Source organism: Homo sapiens, chromosome 2 (assembly GCF_000001405.40).
Source record: "Homo sapiens chromosome 2, GRCh38.p14 Primary Assembly".
Lineage (NCBI taxonomy): Eukaryota > Metazoa > Chordata > Mammalia > Primates > Hominidae > Homo > Homo sapiens.
Genome location: NC_000002.12, coordinates 140,818,598 through 140,837,809, shown reverse-complemented (window position 1 = coordinate 140,837,809; position 19,212 = coordinate 140,818,598). Strand labels below are relative to the sequence as shown.

General features: G+C 35.5%; 1 protein-coding gene across 4 annotated transcripts in view; it reads left to right on the top strand.

Annotated features, from left to right (window-relative positions):
- Positions 1-19,212, top strand: part of LRP1B (LDL receptor related protein 1B) — a 1,899,594-nt gene that overhangs the window by 1,293,207 nt on the left and 587,175 nt on the right. The window lies entirely within an intron of this gene.

The window sequence follows — 19,212 nt, the reverse complement described above, 5'->3', positions numbered from 1 at the left end:
CCCCTCCCCCCACCCCACAACAGTCCCCGGTGGTGTGTGATGTTCCCCTTCCTGTGTCCATGTGTTCTCATTGTTCAATTCCCACCTATGAGTGAGAATATGCGGTGTTTGGTTTTTTGTCCTTGGTGATAGTTTGCTGAGAATGATGGTTTCCAGCTTCATCCATGTCCCTACAAAGGTCATGAACTCACCAAGTATATTTTTAACTGCATAAGGATGATGATTGAACATTCAATAATACATGTCTACTTTATGTCAGTAATTATATTTGAAAATTTTTAAAAAATAGATTTTCAAAATGACACTTTTTAAAAGTTTTAATTTGTACAAGACATACTATTTTAGCATAACTGACTATACCTTAAATCAGCATTGAATATGGCTGTGAGTCAAACATTCATTTATTCAATAAATAGATTTTTATTGAGTATCGGATTTTGCACTAGGCCTGTTGATAAAAATTTGACACTGTCCTTTTCCTTAAGGGGCACAGGAACCTAAATTATTTTAGACTCCATTAAATAAATTTAACTCAGTGCCCTTGAGCAAGTTACTGTTAGCTTGGTGTCCTTGGTTTCCTTACTCATATAATCAAGACAAAATCTCTTCTTTTATAAAGATCTCATGAGAACTGAATGAGAAAAATTTATGAAGCAAGACATCTGGCCCTTAATAATAGAAACTGTCAGTAATAGCGGTAGTATGTACATTAGGTCCAATAGACTGGAATTCAAATCATATGATTGTAGTATTAAGACTCTAAGTGAGTTTAGTGAAAATAAACAGAATAGATTCCGTAGCAATGTAGTAGAGGAAATATATGTAACCAAGTGGGCCTCTGAAATGACCAAATGTTTATACAAATGTGGGGATTTAACTCTGTACTGCTTTGCTGCTCATGCTAAGGGGCAAACAAGTTTAAGGTTAAGCACCTTCCAGTAACTTTCCACTTTAGCTTGCAATTCCTGTTAAGCAGGTGCCAAGATTGATAGTCTCCCCAATGCGTAATGAAAAGCTGTGTTGTCCATATATAAATGCAATACTTTTTTTTTAAATACTTCCAAAATATGGATGCTCCTCAGCAATTCCCCAGCTTGCTATATACTGTCACATCTCTGTCTGCCCCAGAAATCCTTATTTTAGACACCCACAAGAAGAAAGTGAGCAGATGAAGTCTCCCTTGCCTCTATTGTCTCCCATCTCCCTACCATGAGCAATGTTCGTAGATCACTAACATCTCCTTTGGTAGCATTCACCATTTGGATTTGCCAATCCAAATTAAGTGAATTAAATTGTTCAAAGTCTAAGTACAAGAAGAAAAAGAAAATTCAGAAATCTAGAAATTAGGGACAATGTATAGCAATTTTCACATACACATAAAACATTCTTTTTGTCGTGTTTCAGGGACAACATGGTTGGGAAAAAAATGTTATTTGAGGAACCGAACAAATCTGAGTATGAATCACTGCTTTGATGCTTATTAACTCTGTGACTTTAAACAAATCTCTTACCTTTTCTAAGGCACAGTTGCATATCTATACAATGGAGATAATAGTATATAACTTTTGTGGTTATTTTTAGAATTAAAGGCCCATATGCAATATCTCATGTTCTAGCAATTCCATACTTATATACTCTAAAGAGTTCCTATATATGTGTTCAAGAAAGTACATTAAATCATAATATTAAAAAAATTTAGAAGAGCCTACATCTTCATTAAAAGAGGAATGAGTAAATAAATGCAACATTTTCATTGCTAAAGTATGATATGTACATACAGATGTGTGTGTGTCTACTTACATACGTATATATGTAGGGAAGTTCAAACTTTCCCTTTGGAAGTTTGAGTCTAAGTCTGCTGAAGTAAATTAACAATAGGCAGATTAACAGGACAAAAAAGGTATTCAACTGTATTAACGTGCACATGGACGCAGGAGTCCTGCAAATATAAAACTCTAAAAATAGGCATGTGGCCAGGTGCGGTGGTTCACGCCTGTAATCCCAGCATTTTGGGAGGCTGAGGCAGGTGGATCACCTGGGGTCAGGAGTTTGAGACCAGCCTTGCCAACATGGTGAAAACCCATCTCTACTGAAAATACAAAACATTAGCCAGACGTGGTGGCGAGCGCCTGTAATCCCAGTTACTTGGGAGGCTGAGGCAGGAGAATCATTTGAACCTGGGAGGCGGAGGTTGCAGTAAGCCAAAGTCGTGCCATTGCACTCCAGCCTGTGCAACAAGAGCGAAACTTCATCTCAAAATAAATAAATAAATAAAAATAAAATAAAAAGAGCAATGTGACTGAAGTTTTTATACTATATAGAAAGGAATAGTGACTTGGAGCCTGGCGGCAGGTTATGGGAGGGAAAGGGGAGAAAAGACGTGGCAAGTGAAGGTTGTCTTTATGCAGGTGAAGCCTCACAGGTGGCAGCCCTCAAAAAGAATAGATGGGAGCCTGTGGTAAAAGTTTCTCTGTCATATCTGTAATAATGTCAGACGTTTAGTTTCCTTTTCCTGTGAGTTAAGTTTTTCCTGTCTCCAGATAATGCAGATAAGAAGACCTCAGATGAAGCTCTTACGTCTGTGTTTTACTTCACTAACGTAGATTTTCTCAACAGATGCAAGTCTTCCCTACTAAGGAGAGCTTTTCAGAACTATTCCTGTGTCTGCCGCCCCTCTGAGTAGTCATCTCAAAATAGACCAAAGAAGTATATTTTGGCGTGGCATATTTTCATTTCCTTCACATACATTTCAAAACCATTGAGAAAAGTTATTAGCAGAATGTTACTTACATACTTATAGTATGATACCATTTGTATAATTTCAAAATGAAACATAAAATATTAATATACGTTGCTCCCAGATATGCTTATTTTAAAACTATAGAAAAAAAGTGAACTGGAAATTTACACACCAATTTTATAATAGCATTTGATTTAGGGAAGAGTCAATAATGACATCTGAAAGAGAACTTTCTTCTTTATCAAAGGTAATTTTAACAGTATGAGTTAAATTTAGTTTATATTTAATAAAAGTATTCAAATTAGGTATAATGAAATGTTAGTAGTTTCAATTCTGGATGGTGAACTCATGAGTTTATTTTCATCTTCTTTCCTCTGTTGGTTCTGGCTCCTCCAAGTGTTACCAAAACGACCCGCTGTTTAGACACAGCTGACTTTCTTCTTGACAGTGGTAAAAGAGAACACTAACTGGCCAAGTCTTAGTAGTATCTAAGAGAGGAAAGAGCAAAGCCGAAATTGTAATTTAGATTTATGGCCAGGCGCGGGGGCTCACGCTTGTAATCCCAGCACTTTGGGAGGCCAAGGTGTGCAGATCACGAGGTCATGAGATCCAGATCATCCTGGCTAAAATGGTGAAACCTCGTCTCTACTGAAAATACAAAAATTAGCTGGGAATGATGGCATGCGCCTGTAGTCCCAGCTACTCGAGAGGCTGAGGCAGGAGGATCGCTTGAACTCAGCAGGCAGAGGTTGCAATGAGCCGAGATCGTGCCACTGTACTCCAGCCTGATGACAGAGTGAGCGACTCCGTCTCAAAAAATAATAATAAAAATAAAAAACAGATGGCAATTGAGATTTTAAAGTCTGGTTTAAGGTAGGTCTTTCAAATGAAGGTATGGTTAGGATTGAGTAAGGATCATTATATAAAAATTTCAGACTGGTTAGAACAGCAAAAAGATTCTGAGGGGAAGTTGTTTGAAGAGCCTTAAGTTATAAAATGTTGTTTTATGCTTTTCTTGCTGAAGAGTTGATGAGTCTCTCAGGAAGATCTTGAAATAAACAATAGTATCGGCAACTTTTATCTTCCTGGGCAATAATTTCTTGGGCTAGTAATGTTATGTTATTAAAAACAGTAAAATAGTAAAGTCATGTTAGTGTAGACAATAAACTGTGCTTATGGTTTTGATTCTCATTTATAAAATTAAGCCTTTGTTTCAGGGATTTTTTTAACCCCTTTAAAACATATTAAACATAACCTTTGTAAAAAATTTGTACACTAACATGTTCGTTCACCAGCTGACTCTGAAAAACAGACCCACAATAGTCAGAGTTCTACCAGAGAAAGAAAGCCAATTATGGGTGTGTATATATGTATATACAGTAAGTCACCACTTAACATCATCAACATGTTCTTGGAAACTGTGACTTTAAAGCCAAAGGACATATAAAGAAAACAATTTCACCATAGGCTCAGTAATATAAACAAGAGCTGTTTCTAGAGCATGTATCTGGCAACAAAAACATTAATAAATTTCTAAATAAAGACCCAAAACACTTGTAATATTAAGCATTGAAATAAATGTGAGGCATACATACATTTAAGAAACACTAATAAAAACACGTAAGATTTTAACCAATTTTTGGTGAATCAGTGAGTGATGGTGGTCATAGTTGTGGTGGGCTAAGCCAAGAAATAAATGTTTGCCAAGTGACAATGGTAAAGAACGCCTCCTACTGCCACATAGTTTAAAACCAAACAATAACAAATATGGCAGGCTTGCTGAGTACTTTCATACCACATCATTGATTGTTGTGGATTTGTGTGATTATTGTGTACTTTACAAACTTTTATTTGACAATAATTTGTATTCATTCATTCATTCATTCTCTAACCCATTTATTCCAGTTTAAGGTCACAGGATTACTGAAGCTTATCCTGACAGCTCAGAGTACAAGGTGGGAACCAACACTGGAAAGGACACTATTTCATCACAGGGCACACTCATGCACACACATACCCTCACTTATATTGGGACAATCTTTTTCTAACTGATATATAATGATAATGCATGGTGTGGAATGCCTGTGATATTTTGATACATGCATATAATATGTAAAGATTAAATCAAGGAAATTGAGATATCCATTGCCTCAAATCTGTAACTTTTCTTTACATTGGGAACATCTCTTCTAGCTATTTTGAACTAGACAATACATTATTGTTAACTGTAGTCATTCTACTGTGCTATCAAACACTAGATCTTATTCTTTCTAACTGTACTTTTGTACCGATTGTCCAAATTTTCTTCATCCCCCTACTCCTTTGTTCCTTCTCCAGCCTCTTGCAACCACCAATCAACTCTCTACCCACAAGAGATCTACTTTTTTAGCTTCCATATATGTGGGAGAACATGTGGTATTTGTCCTTCTGTGCCTCGCCAATTTCTCTTAACATAATGACCTGACACTCCATGCATGTTGCCAATGACAGAATTTCATTCTTTTTTATGGCTGAATAATATTCCATTGTGTATATGTACCTCATTTTGTTTATCCATCCAGCTAATGATAGACACTTATGATTATTGTAAATAGTGTTGCAATAGACATGCTAGTGCAGGTATCTCTTTATATACTACATTTCTTACTTTTGAATATATACTCAGCAGTGAGATTGCTGGATCGTATGGTAGCTCTATTTTTAGTCTTTTGGAGAATCTTCATACTGTTTTCCATAGTGGCTGTACAGTCCCTCAGTATACATGGGGGATTGGTTCCAGGACCACCCACATATACCAAAATCCACACATACTCAGATTGTGGAGTCCACCCTGAAGGAGTGGGTACACAAAAAGTTGGCCCTCCAAATATGTGGGTTTTGCATCCTGTGAATACCCTGTATTTTCAATCTGTCCTTCTTTGAAAAAAAAATCATATATAAGTGAACCCATGCAGTTCAAACCATTGTCGATTGAAGGTCAACTGTATTAAATTACTTTCCCACCAACAACATAGGAGTGTTCCCATGTCTGTACCTCCTCACTAGCTACTGTTACTTCTTGTCTTTTTGATAATAACCATTCCAACTGGGGTGAGGTGATATCCCATTGTAGTTTTGTGTGACATTACCCTGATGGTTAGTGATGTTAAACATTTTTTCATATATCTGTTGGCCAATTGTGTGTCTTTTTTTGAGACATGCCTACTCAGATCTTTTGCCCATTTTAAAATCACATTATTAGTTATTTTGCTATTGAATTGAGTTCCTTATATATTTTGGTTATTGATATCTTGTCAGATGGATAGTTTGTAAATATTTTCTTCCATTCTGTAGATTTGTTCTTCTCTTTGTTGATTGTTTCCTTTGCTGTGCAGAAACCTTTTTGTTTCATATAATCCCATTTGCTATTTTTGCTTTTGTTGCCTGTGCTTTTGAAAGTTTAGCCAAGGAATCATTGCCCAGACCCATGTCCTGAAGTGTTGCCCAAATGTTTTCTTTCAGTAGTTTAATAGTTTTACATCTTAGATTCAAGCTTTGATTCATTTTGATTTGACTTTTATATTTGGCAAGAGATAGGAATCTAGTCTCATTCTTCTGCATAGGGATATCTAGTTTTCCCAGCACTATTTATTGAAGATATTGTCCTTTCTACCATGTATGTTCATGGTGCCTTTGTCAAAAATGTATTGGCTGTAAGTGTATGGATTTATTTCTGAGTTCTCTAGCGTGTTCCACTGTTCTCTATGTCTGTTTTTATATCGCACCATGCCGTTTTGTTTACTATGTCTTTGTACTACATTTTGAAGTCAAGTAATGTGATGTCTCTGTCTTTATTTATTTATTTGCTTAGGATTGTTTTGGCTATTTGGGGTCTTTTGTGGCTCTGTAACATCATTGGTTTCTTGATAGAGATTGCATATAATCTGTGGGTAGCTTTGGGTAGTGTTGACATTTTACCAATTCTAATTGTTCTACTCCATGAGCATGGAATATCTTTGCTTATTTGTGTGTGTTCTTCAATTTCTTTCATCAGTAGTTTATTGTTTTCTTTGTAGGGATCTTTTATTTCTTTGGTTAAATTTATTTCTAGGCATTTTATATTTTTTGTAGCAATTGCATATGGGATTGTTTCTTAATCTCTTTTTCAGTTTGCTCACCATTGGCTGATATAAATGCCACTGATTATTGTGTGATAAATCCGGCAACATTATTGAATTTGTTTATCAGTTCTAATAGATTTTTGGTGGGGACTTTTGGTTTTCCTAAGTATAATATCATGCATCTTAAAACAAAAATAATTTGCCTTCTTCCTTTCTAGTTTGCTAGGACGTCCAGTACTATGTTGAAAATAAGTAGTAATAGAAACATCCTTGTCTTGTTCCAGAACTTAGAGGAAAAGCTCTCATTTTTTCTCCACTCAGTATGAAGTTAGCTTTGGATTTATTATATATGGCCTTCATTGTTTTGAGGTCTGATTCTTCTATACCCAGTTTGCTGAGAAGTACTTTTTATCATAAAGGGATGTTGAATTTTTTAAAATGCTTTTTCATCTAAGGAAATGATTATATGTCTTTTGTCCTTCATTCTGTTAATGTGATTTATCATATTTATTAATTTGCATAGGTTGGACCATCCTTGTATCACTGGAATAATTCCCACTTGATTGTGGTGAATAATCTTTTCAATATGTTGTCGAATTTGGTTTGTTAGTATTTTGTTGAAGATTTTTGCATCTATGTTTATTAGGGATATAGTTTTCCTAGTTTTTGTCATGTCTTTGGTTTTAACATCAGGGAAATGCTGGCCTCTTAGAATGAGTTTGGAAGTATTCCCTCCACTTCGAGTTTTATAAATACTTTGAGTAGAATTGGCATTAGTTCTTATTTAAATGTGTGGTATAATTTGCTAGTGAAGTCATCAGGTAGGTCCTGGGGTTTTTTTTGATGGAGTATTTTTTATTCTCATTTAATCTCATTACTCATTACTGGTCTGTTTGGCTTTTCTATTTCTTCATGGTTCAGTCTTTGTAGGTTGTATGTATTCAGAAATTTATCCGTTTATTGTAGGTTTTCCAATTTGTTAGTGTTTAGTTGTTCGTAATAGTCCCTAATGATTATTTGTATTTATGTGGTATCAGCTGTTATGTCTCCTTTTTTTGTTTCTGATTTTGTCTTTTCTTTCTTTTCCTTAATTAGTCTAGCTAAAGGTTTGTCAATTTTGTCTTTTAAAAAATAGCTTTTTATGTCATTTATCTTTTATATTATTTTTTATTCTCAATTGTATTTATTTCTGTTTGGATCCTTATCATTATTTTTCTTCTACTACTTTTGGGATTGGTTTATTCTTGCTTGTCTAGTTCCTTGAGTGCCTCATTGGGATGTTCATTTAAAATCTTTTAACTTTTTGATGTAGGTGTTCATTGCTGTAAACTTCCCTGATTTTGCTTTATAGCATAGTTTTGGTATGTTATGTTTTTCTAATTTTATTTGTTTCATGAAATTTTCAAAATTTCCTTCTTCATTTCTTCATTGACCCATTGATTATTCAGGAGCATGTTGTTTAATTGTCATGTGTTTGTATTGTTTCTAAGTTTCTCTTATTATTGAATTCTAGTTTTATTCCATTGTGGTCAGAGAGAAACTTGATACAATTTTGACTTTTTTGAATTTGTTGAGACTTATTTTGTGGCCTCACATAGATCCTATTCTGGAAAATGTTCCATGTGCTGATGAGAAGAATGTGCATTGTGTAGCTGTTGGACAAAATACTCTGTAAATGTCAGTTTGATTCATTTGGTCTAGAGTGTAGTTTAACATCACTGTTTCTTGGTTGATTTTCCATCTCAATGATCTGTCAATTACTGAGAGTGAGGTGTTAAATTCCTCCATTATTATTGTGTTACAGTCTCTCTCTCTCCCTTTAGATTTATTAATATTTGCTTTATATATTTCGGTGCCTTGGTGTTGGATGCATATATATTTACAATTGTTAAATCCTACTACTGAATTAATCTCTTTTTTATTATATGTTGACCTTCTTTGTCTCCTTTTAAGTTTGATTTAAAGTCTGTTTTATCTACTATAAGAATAGTTACTCTTGCTCTGCTTTTGATTTTTATTTACATGGGCTATCTTCTTCCATCTCTTTACTTTCAGCCGATGTGTGTCTTTTTGTAGGTGAAATGAGTTTCTTACAAGTAGCATATAGCCTAAATAAAAAAGCCTGAATAAAAAAATTATTCAGCTGCTTTGTGTCTTTTTTTTTTTTTTTTTTTTTTTTTGAGACGGAGTCTCGCTCTGTCGCCCAGGCTGGAGTGCAGTGGCGCGATCTCGGTTCACTGCAAGCTCCGCCTCCCGGGTTCACGCCATTCTCCTGCCTCAGCCTCCTGAGTAGCTGGGACTACAGGCGCCCGCTACCACGCCCGGCTAATTTTTTGTATTTTTTTTTTTTTTTTTTTTTTTGAGACGGAGTCTCGCTCTGTCGCCCAGGCTGGAGTGCAGTGGCGCGATCTCGGCTCACTGCAAGCTCCGCCTCCCAGGTTCACGCCATTCTCCTGCCTCAGCCTCCCGAGTAGCTGGGACTACAGGCGCCCGCTACCACGCCCGGCTAATTTTTTGTATTTTTAGTAGAGACGGGGTTTCACCGTGTTAGCCAGGATGGTCTCGATCTCCTGACCTCGTGATCCGCCTGCCTCGGCCTCCCAAAGTGCTGGGATTACAGGCGTGAGCCACCGCGCCCGGCCCTTTGTGTCTTTTAAAAATTGGAGAATTTAATCTATTTACATTCAATGTTATTTTTGATAAGTAAGGACTTACTACTGCCATTTTGTTACTTATTTTTGGAGTATTATGAATTTGTCTTTATACTTACTTTTAGCAATGAGTTTTAGACCTTCAATTGTTTTCTTTTTGTATATTAGCATCTTTTTTTTGCATATTGAAGAATTCCCTTTAGAGTTTTTTTTTGTAGGATGGATCTAGTGATTGCGAGTTCCCTCAGCTTTTGTTTGTGTGGGAAAGACTGTATTTCTCTTTCATGTTTGAAGGAAAGCTTTCTGGGTACAGTATTCTTGCTCAGCAGCTTTTTTCTTTCAGTAATTTAACTATGTCACCCCACTCTCTCCAGGCCTATATGGTTTCCATTGAGAAGTCTATTGCCAAGTGAATTGGAGCTCCTTTATGTGTTATTTGCTTCTTATCTCTTGATGCTTTTAGGATCCTTGCTTTGTCTTTAACCTTTCAGAACTTGATTATTATATGCTTTGGGATAGTCTTATTTGGGTTGAATCTGTTTGGTGATCTCTGATCTTCCTATAACTAGATATTTTTATCTTTAGGTTTGGTATGTTTTCTGTTATTATTTCTTTGAGTAAGTTTTCTACCCCCTTGCTCTTTCTCAACTCCCTTATATGCTAATAACTCTTAGATTTACACTTTTGAGGTTATTCCCTATATCTTGCAGGTGTTCTTCATTTCTTTTTATTATTTTTCTTTTTTATCCTTTTACTGTATGTTTTCTGATAGCCTCTCTTTAAGCTTACTTATTTTCTTCTGCTTGATCCATTCTGCTGTTGCCTCTAGTACATTTTTTAGTTCAGGAAACTTGTTTCTCACTTCTAAGATTTCTGTTTGATTTTTAAAAATTATTATTTTATTATTTGTTACTTTCTCTGATAAGTTTCTGAATTGATTTTCCATGTTACCTGGGAGTTCAGTGAGTTTCTTCAGAACTACCATTTTGAATTCTTGATCTGAGAGCTCACAAATTGCTGTCTCACTAGGGTTAGTCACTGGCTCTTTGTTTTGTCCATTTGAGGAGGTCTTGGTTCCCTGTTTGCTGTAGTTTCTTATGGATGTATGTCTATAGCTTTTCATTGAAGGCCTTTACTTGTGTCTGGCTTGTGTTGGTTTTCTAGGGTATGTTTGCTTAGAGTTTCTTTGCAGTCACTTGTAAATCAACTTAATCCTAGATTGATGGCTTTTTTGGGGGGCATTAGATGGCATATTAATCCCAAATTTACCTTGGCTCTCACAGGTGTTCAGAACACTTCTGGTCCTGAATTGGAGTGGGGTTCCTAACGAGGATACCTTGGCTCTGTAGGAGACTGGCTGGGTCTTCATGCTCAGAATACTCATTGAGATTGCCTCCTATGGTGTGTTGCTGCTAAATAGCTACTTTTATTTGGTGTCCCCTTGGCTGAGATAAAGAACAGTGTTTCACAGGCTGAGGTTTCTAATCCCACCTCCCCTTTGTGTCTCTAGCTGCCCTCAGGGGTTTTCTCCCTACAGGCCCTCATGATTCTTCCTGTGGGTCCAGACAGTAATAGTTTTCTTAAAAGGGGATCCAAGATGCTAGGGAAGCTGGCTCTGCCTTGATCTCACTTTTTCCAGTGCAGAAACCATGAGTCTAGGAGGAATCATTCATGCATGGTGCCTGGCAGATTGGGGGAGGGGCATTATGAATCGAAAGGCCCATTTCTCTTACTGTCTGTTCAGAGTTTTTCACTTCTCTATGGCTTCAGGGATCATCTCAGTCTCAGACTTGAGTTCCTGGATGTTGCTGGTGATCATCTTGGCACTGGATAATTATTTTTGGTTTTCTCTTGGGGAGAGTGAAGCCATCTGGCTTCTCTTCTGCAATTTTGATGGTGTCAGTCTCTTCAACTGGGGCAATTTAAACATGCCAATTAACCTAACATGCATATTTTTGGGATGTGGGATGAAACCAGAGCACTCAGAGAAAACCCACACAGACATGGGGAGAACAGGCAAACTCCATACAGATAGTGGCCCCAGGTGGGAATCATTTTTTTCCCTTGTCAATGTTATACCAAAATGTTATTCAAGGACCTGATGTATATGTATACCTACATATATGTTATTTGTTGCAAAATTTTGACTTATGAGATCCTGAAAACTGGCTAGCCCTTAGGCAGGCTATCACTAAAGACATGCTTGACACTCTCAGGCAGGAGCTGAAGCTGAAGACGACAAAATGAGTTTCTTTGTCAGGGAAACCTCAATTCTGTTCATAAGGCCTTTCAACTGATTGAATCAGGACCATCCAGATTTTTGAGTATAATCTCCCTTACTTAAAGTCAACTGATTGCAGATAGTTATCACATCAGCAAAATACTTCCACAGCAACACCCAAGACAGTATTTGATTGAATGACTGGGTATCACAGCCTAGCCATGTTGACACATGAAAGTAAGCATTACATGTTTTGAACACAAACCTTTCTGTAGTTTATCCACTGCTGTATATCCTTGCAAGTGTAGTAGTTGTGTTTATGTTGGTTCAAATGTTGATTTCCATAATTGTTTACCTATAATCTAAATACGAGCTCTGTTAAAGAAAAAAAAAATTCCACAATTGATCCTTCTTTTTAAAATCTAAATTCATCAAAATACATGAATTATGATTATGTTACGACTAATATTATACACAGCTACTAGCTTAATGCGTTAAATGCATTATGTTGGGCACTATGGATGATACAGAGGACTTTATGTAATACTGGCTTTGCAATGTTTACATCCCGATGGGAAGAAACCAAAACAAAACATAAGGAACATGGTGAAGATCCACATGTTGGTTTGTATGCATGTGGGAGTCTTGAAGAAAAAACTAAAAAAAAAAAGGACTTCCTATAATGTGCCAGTTACTGGGAGACAACATGACCAAAAGTGATATGAACAGTTTCTTCAAGGAGTTTAGAATCTAAAAGGAAGTGCAGTGTGACCGAAACTTCCCACTCCAGCTGTATTTCCCTTCTTTGATATTCTCCCAATTTTTAGGCTCTTTTCACTAATATTACATTTTAACAAGTTATTTCTTTGCCCAGAAATGTCTCCTATCTCTTCTTAGTTTAGTTCACTCACTCCTATCTAATAAGCCAAGTGTTGTTTTCCAAGAACCCTTCCCTGACCTCTGTGACCAGGCTGAATTCTTCTAAAACAGACACTTTTAGGACTGTATTTTACTTTTTAGCTCTGTTATCATTTAAATTTTTAATTTGTTTGTTGAATATATGATTACCTACTGCCTCATCAACTAAAAGAGAAGCACCACAAAGCTAGGGACCGTATCTGCTTTATTTACTATTATATCCTCAACGTATAGCACAATTTTGGCACATAAGTAGATTTTCAATAAATATTTGTTGAGTGAATACTGTTTCCTGTCCTATAGCAAGAGTCTCTACAGGATTGACTAAACCTAAGATTTATTGATATGTCTCAGTTGAATAAGATTAATTTTTGAATGTGTGATATTTAGAAAGAATATTTCCACTGGAAGTGCGTACTTGGTGACCTGGATATGGATTCATGTTGCATTTCATTTGATGTATCCAAGGAATAAAAAACATATTAAAGTGCTCCCAGATTTATATTTATACCATTATTTTCTCAAATATAGGGTACAAATATTATGTATATGCACCTGGGTTGCTATGTAAGTACATGACTAGCTAGGAAGAAAAAGTTGGAAATGTTACACTTCTAAATTTTCTTCTCCACTTATTCCTCTTGCTTTTTCTCTAGCTTATCCTGTCTAACCCTGTGGCCACTGGGCTCTCATTAGCACCTCAATGACAGATTTCTCATAAAATTAAAGAACAGGCAAAAATAAATATAGTCATCTACTTATTGACAAATCTTCTTAGCACAGGGAATAAAGATGAAATCAAAAAATTTTTACAGTAATCCCTCATTTATTTCAACCCTATTAATTGTAATTTTTGATCTATCCCAAAAGGCCTCATATAGATTAAACCAGATTAAAAGTACAGTGCATAGTAACTTTTTTAAAAAAAAGAGTATTTTCACTGTGCGTGCCTCAACCATTTTCTTAAAATATATTTAATAGCTTATGTTTCTTACTAATTAAGAGAAAATACTAAAGAATTTCAGATTATTGTGTTTTCTATTTTTTTTTATTTTTTTAAATTCCTTTTGCTATTTTTTTAACTTTTGTTTTAGGTTCAGAGGTACATGTGAAGGTTTGTTACATAGGTAAACTCATGTCATTGAGGTTTGTTGTTCAGATCATTTCATCACCCAGGTATTAAACCTAGTACTTAATAGCTATTTTTTTCTGCTCCTCTCCTACCCTCTTCCCACCTTCCACCCTCAAGTAGAATCCAGTGTCTGTTGTTCCCTTCTTTGTGGTCATGAGTTCACATCATTCAGCTTTCACTTATAAGTGAGAACATGTGTTATTTGGTTTTCTGTTCCTGTAGTAGTTTGCTAAGGATAATATTTTACTTTTTTTTCTGTCTTTCTGAATAATTTAAAACTGCTATGCAAATAATTGGATAAAATATTTCTGTGTTTTATATATAAACTATATTTAAACTATATATATAAACTATATTTAATATAGAATCAAAGTTGTTTCATAAGGAAACACTTGACATAGGATATTTGAAATACTCTAAGTAGTCCATGTCATTGTAACACCACTTTAAAAGATTCCTTCAGAACTGTTCCACTGAGTGATTTCTAAAATGGAATTTTACAGTACAGTGAATGGATATATGAATGTGTGAAAAAATAAATACAAACCTATTGTTGCTGGCATACATGATCATTACACCATGAAATACTTAAATACATAGGGCATTAATCACTGCATTATTTACTCATTGTAATTTCATTTACTTATTGCAAGCAATTATTGTAATTATTATTTAATGATGAGTCTGTGTGAGCTCTGGCTCAAACTGCCTACAGTATTCCTTAAATTTCAGTGAAGAAAATTAAACAATTAAGAAGAGCCACTGTTCAATTGAATTTCTTCTCGTGCATATTGTTGTCAGATTATACATTTTATTTTTTTTTCCAGAATGTGAGGAGAAAACACTATATTCTGCCTGGTAAAAATGGAGCAGCATCAATTAGCTCATAGCAATTACTACTTAACACCCTTTATAGTACCTGTATTCTCATCATGAGGCCACACCTTTGTGTCTGCATGCACTTATTGAGATCTTTCATATGGTTTCATATGGTAGAACCATGATCACTCTGGCAACAAAAATAATATAATCATAGTGACTACTTTTTAAGCACTTGCAATATGTCAGCCACTTTCAAAATGCTTTGCATTAATCATCTCATAACAATTATTTCTGGAAGAAGTTCTTTTCCTTCCTTTATAGATTCAGAAACTGAGTCTTGTCGAAAGAAGGTAGTCTATGATGAAAGCTGGCTTTAAAATCCAAGTTTATTTGCTTCTAAAACCATATGAAATCTTAACCATTATGCTGTGCCCAGAGAGGCTGATTTCATATAGTAATTACTTAACCTCAGCAAAGATAATGGAATAAAGCTGATACTTTTCAAGCATGGAATGTGGGAAAGGGAAAAATCCAGAACTGGCTTACTCCTAAGAAATGTGGACCCAGTTAGGACACAGCAGTTGACTTTTCTAAGCAGCCAGGAGTATCCAAGAACCAATTTCACCTCTTAGCCAATTGTGCCTCACAATTAATTATTTCTGAATCTTTAATTGCTTTGAAATGGCAATGCCACTGATACACTAGACTTTCTAGTTTGAGGAATTGTTTTTATGTTGTAATTCACTGACTTCGCTTGCTTGTTTGCTGTTAAATCCACATGTGACATACTTAAAATAGAAGTGTATCATAATCATATGAAAATGCTCAACTTGGCATTTTATGAGTATGTGTCACTAAAGACTGAGTAATTGCAGCCTTCAGGCAATTTAGGCTGAATAACTTTGTTTCTGTTCAATACAAATCAACATCAGCATTCCAGTTATCCATTGTTGAGCTAAATATTCTCAATTAAGATGTATTGCTCAGTCTTGGATATATTAAATGCTTAGAGCAGTTTACATATCAGAAGATTTTACTTTACTGATGACAGTGATTTCTATGGTTAAAATGCCCTTATATTATGAATTTTATCCCTTAAGCCTCATATAAAGGAACTTGGCTTGTCAATCAACATTACCCTTCATGGATATTCTTAGGAATCTTGTGTACTATATATTTTTATTTCTTTGATGTTTCCCCTTTATTCTTTTTTTTTCTTTTTTTTTTGAGACGGAGTCTCACTCTGTCGCCCAGGCTGGAGTGCAGTGGCACAACTTGTCTCACTGCAACTTCTGCCTCCCAGATTCAAGCAATTCTCCTGCCTTAGCCTCCTGAGTGGCTAATTTTGTATTTTTTGTAGCGATGGGGTTTCACCATATTGGCCAGGCTGGTCTTGAACTCCTGACCTCGTGATCTACCCGCCTCAGCCTCACAAAGTGCTGGGATTATAGGCGTGAGCCATGGCGCCCGGCCTCCCCTTTATTTTCAATGTAATCCCAATTGAAAGTTATTTGTTTACTTAAACTTGCAGTACATCTTCTTGAAATCTACCAGGCATTTTCTATTACTTTATTCCAACTCATACACTGTATGAAGTAGAGTGTGAATTATATTCATAGATAACATTCTTAAGCACTTTTTCCCACATCAAAATAAAATAAGGAACCTCAGTTTTTAGAAGTAAATTTTTTAAAAAAGTCTTGGATATGTTTCCTTGTTCAATATTATGCATTTCTGTTATTGATATATACTTATTACTCAGCACAATCACTTTTATTATGTAGGAAGCACATTCCATTTAAGACTGCACATCTCAAAAGAAATGTTACAAACAGGTTACAAAGAAGCCGGAGGAGGTGACAAACTAAGATTATAATTACACATGCTAACACACACAAATAATTTAAATATATTACATTTTCATCTGATTATTCATTTACTCATTTAATTCAAATGTTATTAAATTGGGGGTGCGGGGGAGGTAATTTTTTAAAAAGGTTATGAAGTGTACACTAGGTACTAGACCCTAAAAACAAAACCTGGTACCATCCTCCAGGAGGACGTAGTTCAGTGAAGGAAAAAAATCACTGATAATTAAAAGCCATTTGAATGAGATTTTTAGTAGAGTTAAACAAAACAAAAACACTCAATGTTTTTCATGAGTACTATGCTCATCATACAGTTAAGTAGACACTGAAAATAAACAACTAATATTTTGCAGGGAGGAAAATTAGAAAAAAGAATTGTAACCAAATTGATAATATTTTGAAATTGCTACAGGATCTTGAAAAAAAATACTTTTTTTTTTTTTTTAAAGAAGCAACAGAAAGAGGAGGGGCTTTCCTTAGTATCAGCAGAAAAGAAAAGCAGGCATAAAAGGCATAAAAGAGGATGATATGTGTACAAAACTGAATTTTTCTATATGCGTAGCAAATCTAACATAAGGAAATATTTAGCATTGTGTTGTCAGGAACTACAGTTTAAAAATATTTAAGTGACACAATCCAGTGCTTTAAAAATATTTTGTTCTATTTTACTTATCAAGCTATAAAATATAGTTTTGGAAAATTATAAAACTATAGGTATTAAAGCTTTTAAAATGCTTTTAAAAGAAAACACTTAAAAAATAATTTCGTTGATTCTGGTTTTTCCTCTATTTCTGTGTGTGTTATTTTCACAAGGCACATAAGATTTGCTACTCATCAAGGGCTCGGGATATGGATAAACTGTCTGAGGCAAAATGAGTTATGTTAGGAAGGACGGAGGAAATGTTGAAATCTTACCTTGAATAGGATAAGTAGTAAGGGATCAGTTGACTACTTTAGCCCTGTAACTGACAGGGTGAAATGAAAAGGGTAATTTCCAGGAAGGATTTAGATCATGTTAAGATAAAGGCAGTATACTCAACTAGTTGTTGAATAATGTGCTTTTAAAAAAATTAATGTAGGCCAGGTGTGGTGGCTGATGCCTGTAATTCCAGTACTTTGAGAGGCTGAGCCAGGTGGATCACTTTAGGCCAGGAGTTCAAGACTAGCCTGGCCAATGTGGCAAAGCCTGTCTCTACAAAAAATATTTAATACAAAAAATTAGCAGGGCGGTATGGGAGGCTGAAGCAAGAGAATCTCTTGAGCCCGGGAGGCAGAGGTTGCAGTCAGCTGAGGTCATGCCACTGCACTCCAGCCTGGGCGACAGAGCGAGACTCTGTCTTGAAAAAATAATAGTAATTTAAAGGTTTATATGGACATTATTGTGTGAAGATTAGTTTTTACTTCTCTGAGTTAAATTCCCAGGAATGCAATACTGGGTCATATTGCATTAGTGTGCTGAATTTTATAAGAAAATGTCAAATTGTTTCCTAGAGTGGTTTTACCATTTTACATTACCACTAACAATGTGTATCAGTTATCCAGTTCTCTGTATCCTTGTTGGCATTTAGTGTTCTCACTGCTTTTTTATTTTAGCTATTGTAATAGACATATAGTGTATCCTATTGTCACTTAAAAACACTTTTATTTCTTCTAGACTTTAGGTTGTTTATAACAATTTTCATTTTAATTTGCATTTTCCTATGATATTGAACATCTTTTTATGTGTTTATTTGCCATTTGTATATATTATTCTGTGAAATATTTCTTCTCTGTTCTTCTCTGTTCTCTTTTCTGTGAAGTTTTCTTCTCTGTTTTAGTCATCATGCTCCATCTCTTTTGCCCATTTTTCAATTGCATTTTTTTAACTATTGAGTTTTGAAAGTTCTTTTGTTGATACTTACCTTTTGTTGGATGCATGGATTGCAAATATTTACTCCCAGACTAAATCATGTCTTTTATTACTTTTCACAGACCAAAAGTTTCTAATTTTGATGTGCTTGTTTTATAATTGAAAGAATATTGTGATTATGAATGAAGTACATAATCTCAACATTTTTAGTAATTAGATTATCTCCAAATTATCAGTTGTGAGATTACCAGAGAGATGGTTGCAAGCTTTAGAATAGAGCCTTAGCTTGAAAGGGAAATATAAACATTTATACCACTCATAAATATAGCTAACATTTATTTCATGCTTTCCATGTGTCAGACACAACTGTATGAGGCATTATTCTTATCATTACCACCTCACAATGGTGGAGCAGCAAGGGCAAGGCTGCCAGAAATACTTAGACAAGGCGACTGAAGGCTAACACCTTAGATTTGTGTTCACTTCACAGAGAAGCCAGGGATGGAACAGACAAAGACAAAGTGCTTGGGTTTCCTCAGCACATTCTCTTTTTTTTTTTTTTTTTTTTTTTTGAGACAGAGTCTCGCTCTGTTGCCCAGGCTGGAGTGCAGTGGCATGATTTCAGCTCACTGCAACCTCTACCTCCTGGGTTCAAGCGATTCTCCTGCCTCAGCCTCCCGAGTAGCTACAACTACAGGCGTGTGACACCACACCTGGATAATTTTTTTGTGTTTTTAGTAGAGATGGAGTTTTGCCATGTTGGCCAGGCTGGTCTCGACCTCTTAACTGAAAGTAATCCACCCGTCTTGGCCTCCCAAAGTGCTGGGATTACAGGCATGAGCCACAGTGCCCAGCCAGCACATCCATTCTTTACCCAGCAAAACCCAAATATTCTCAGGATGGATAAAGCA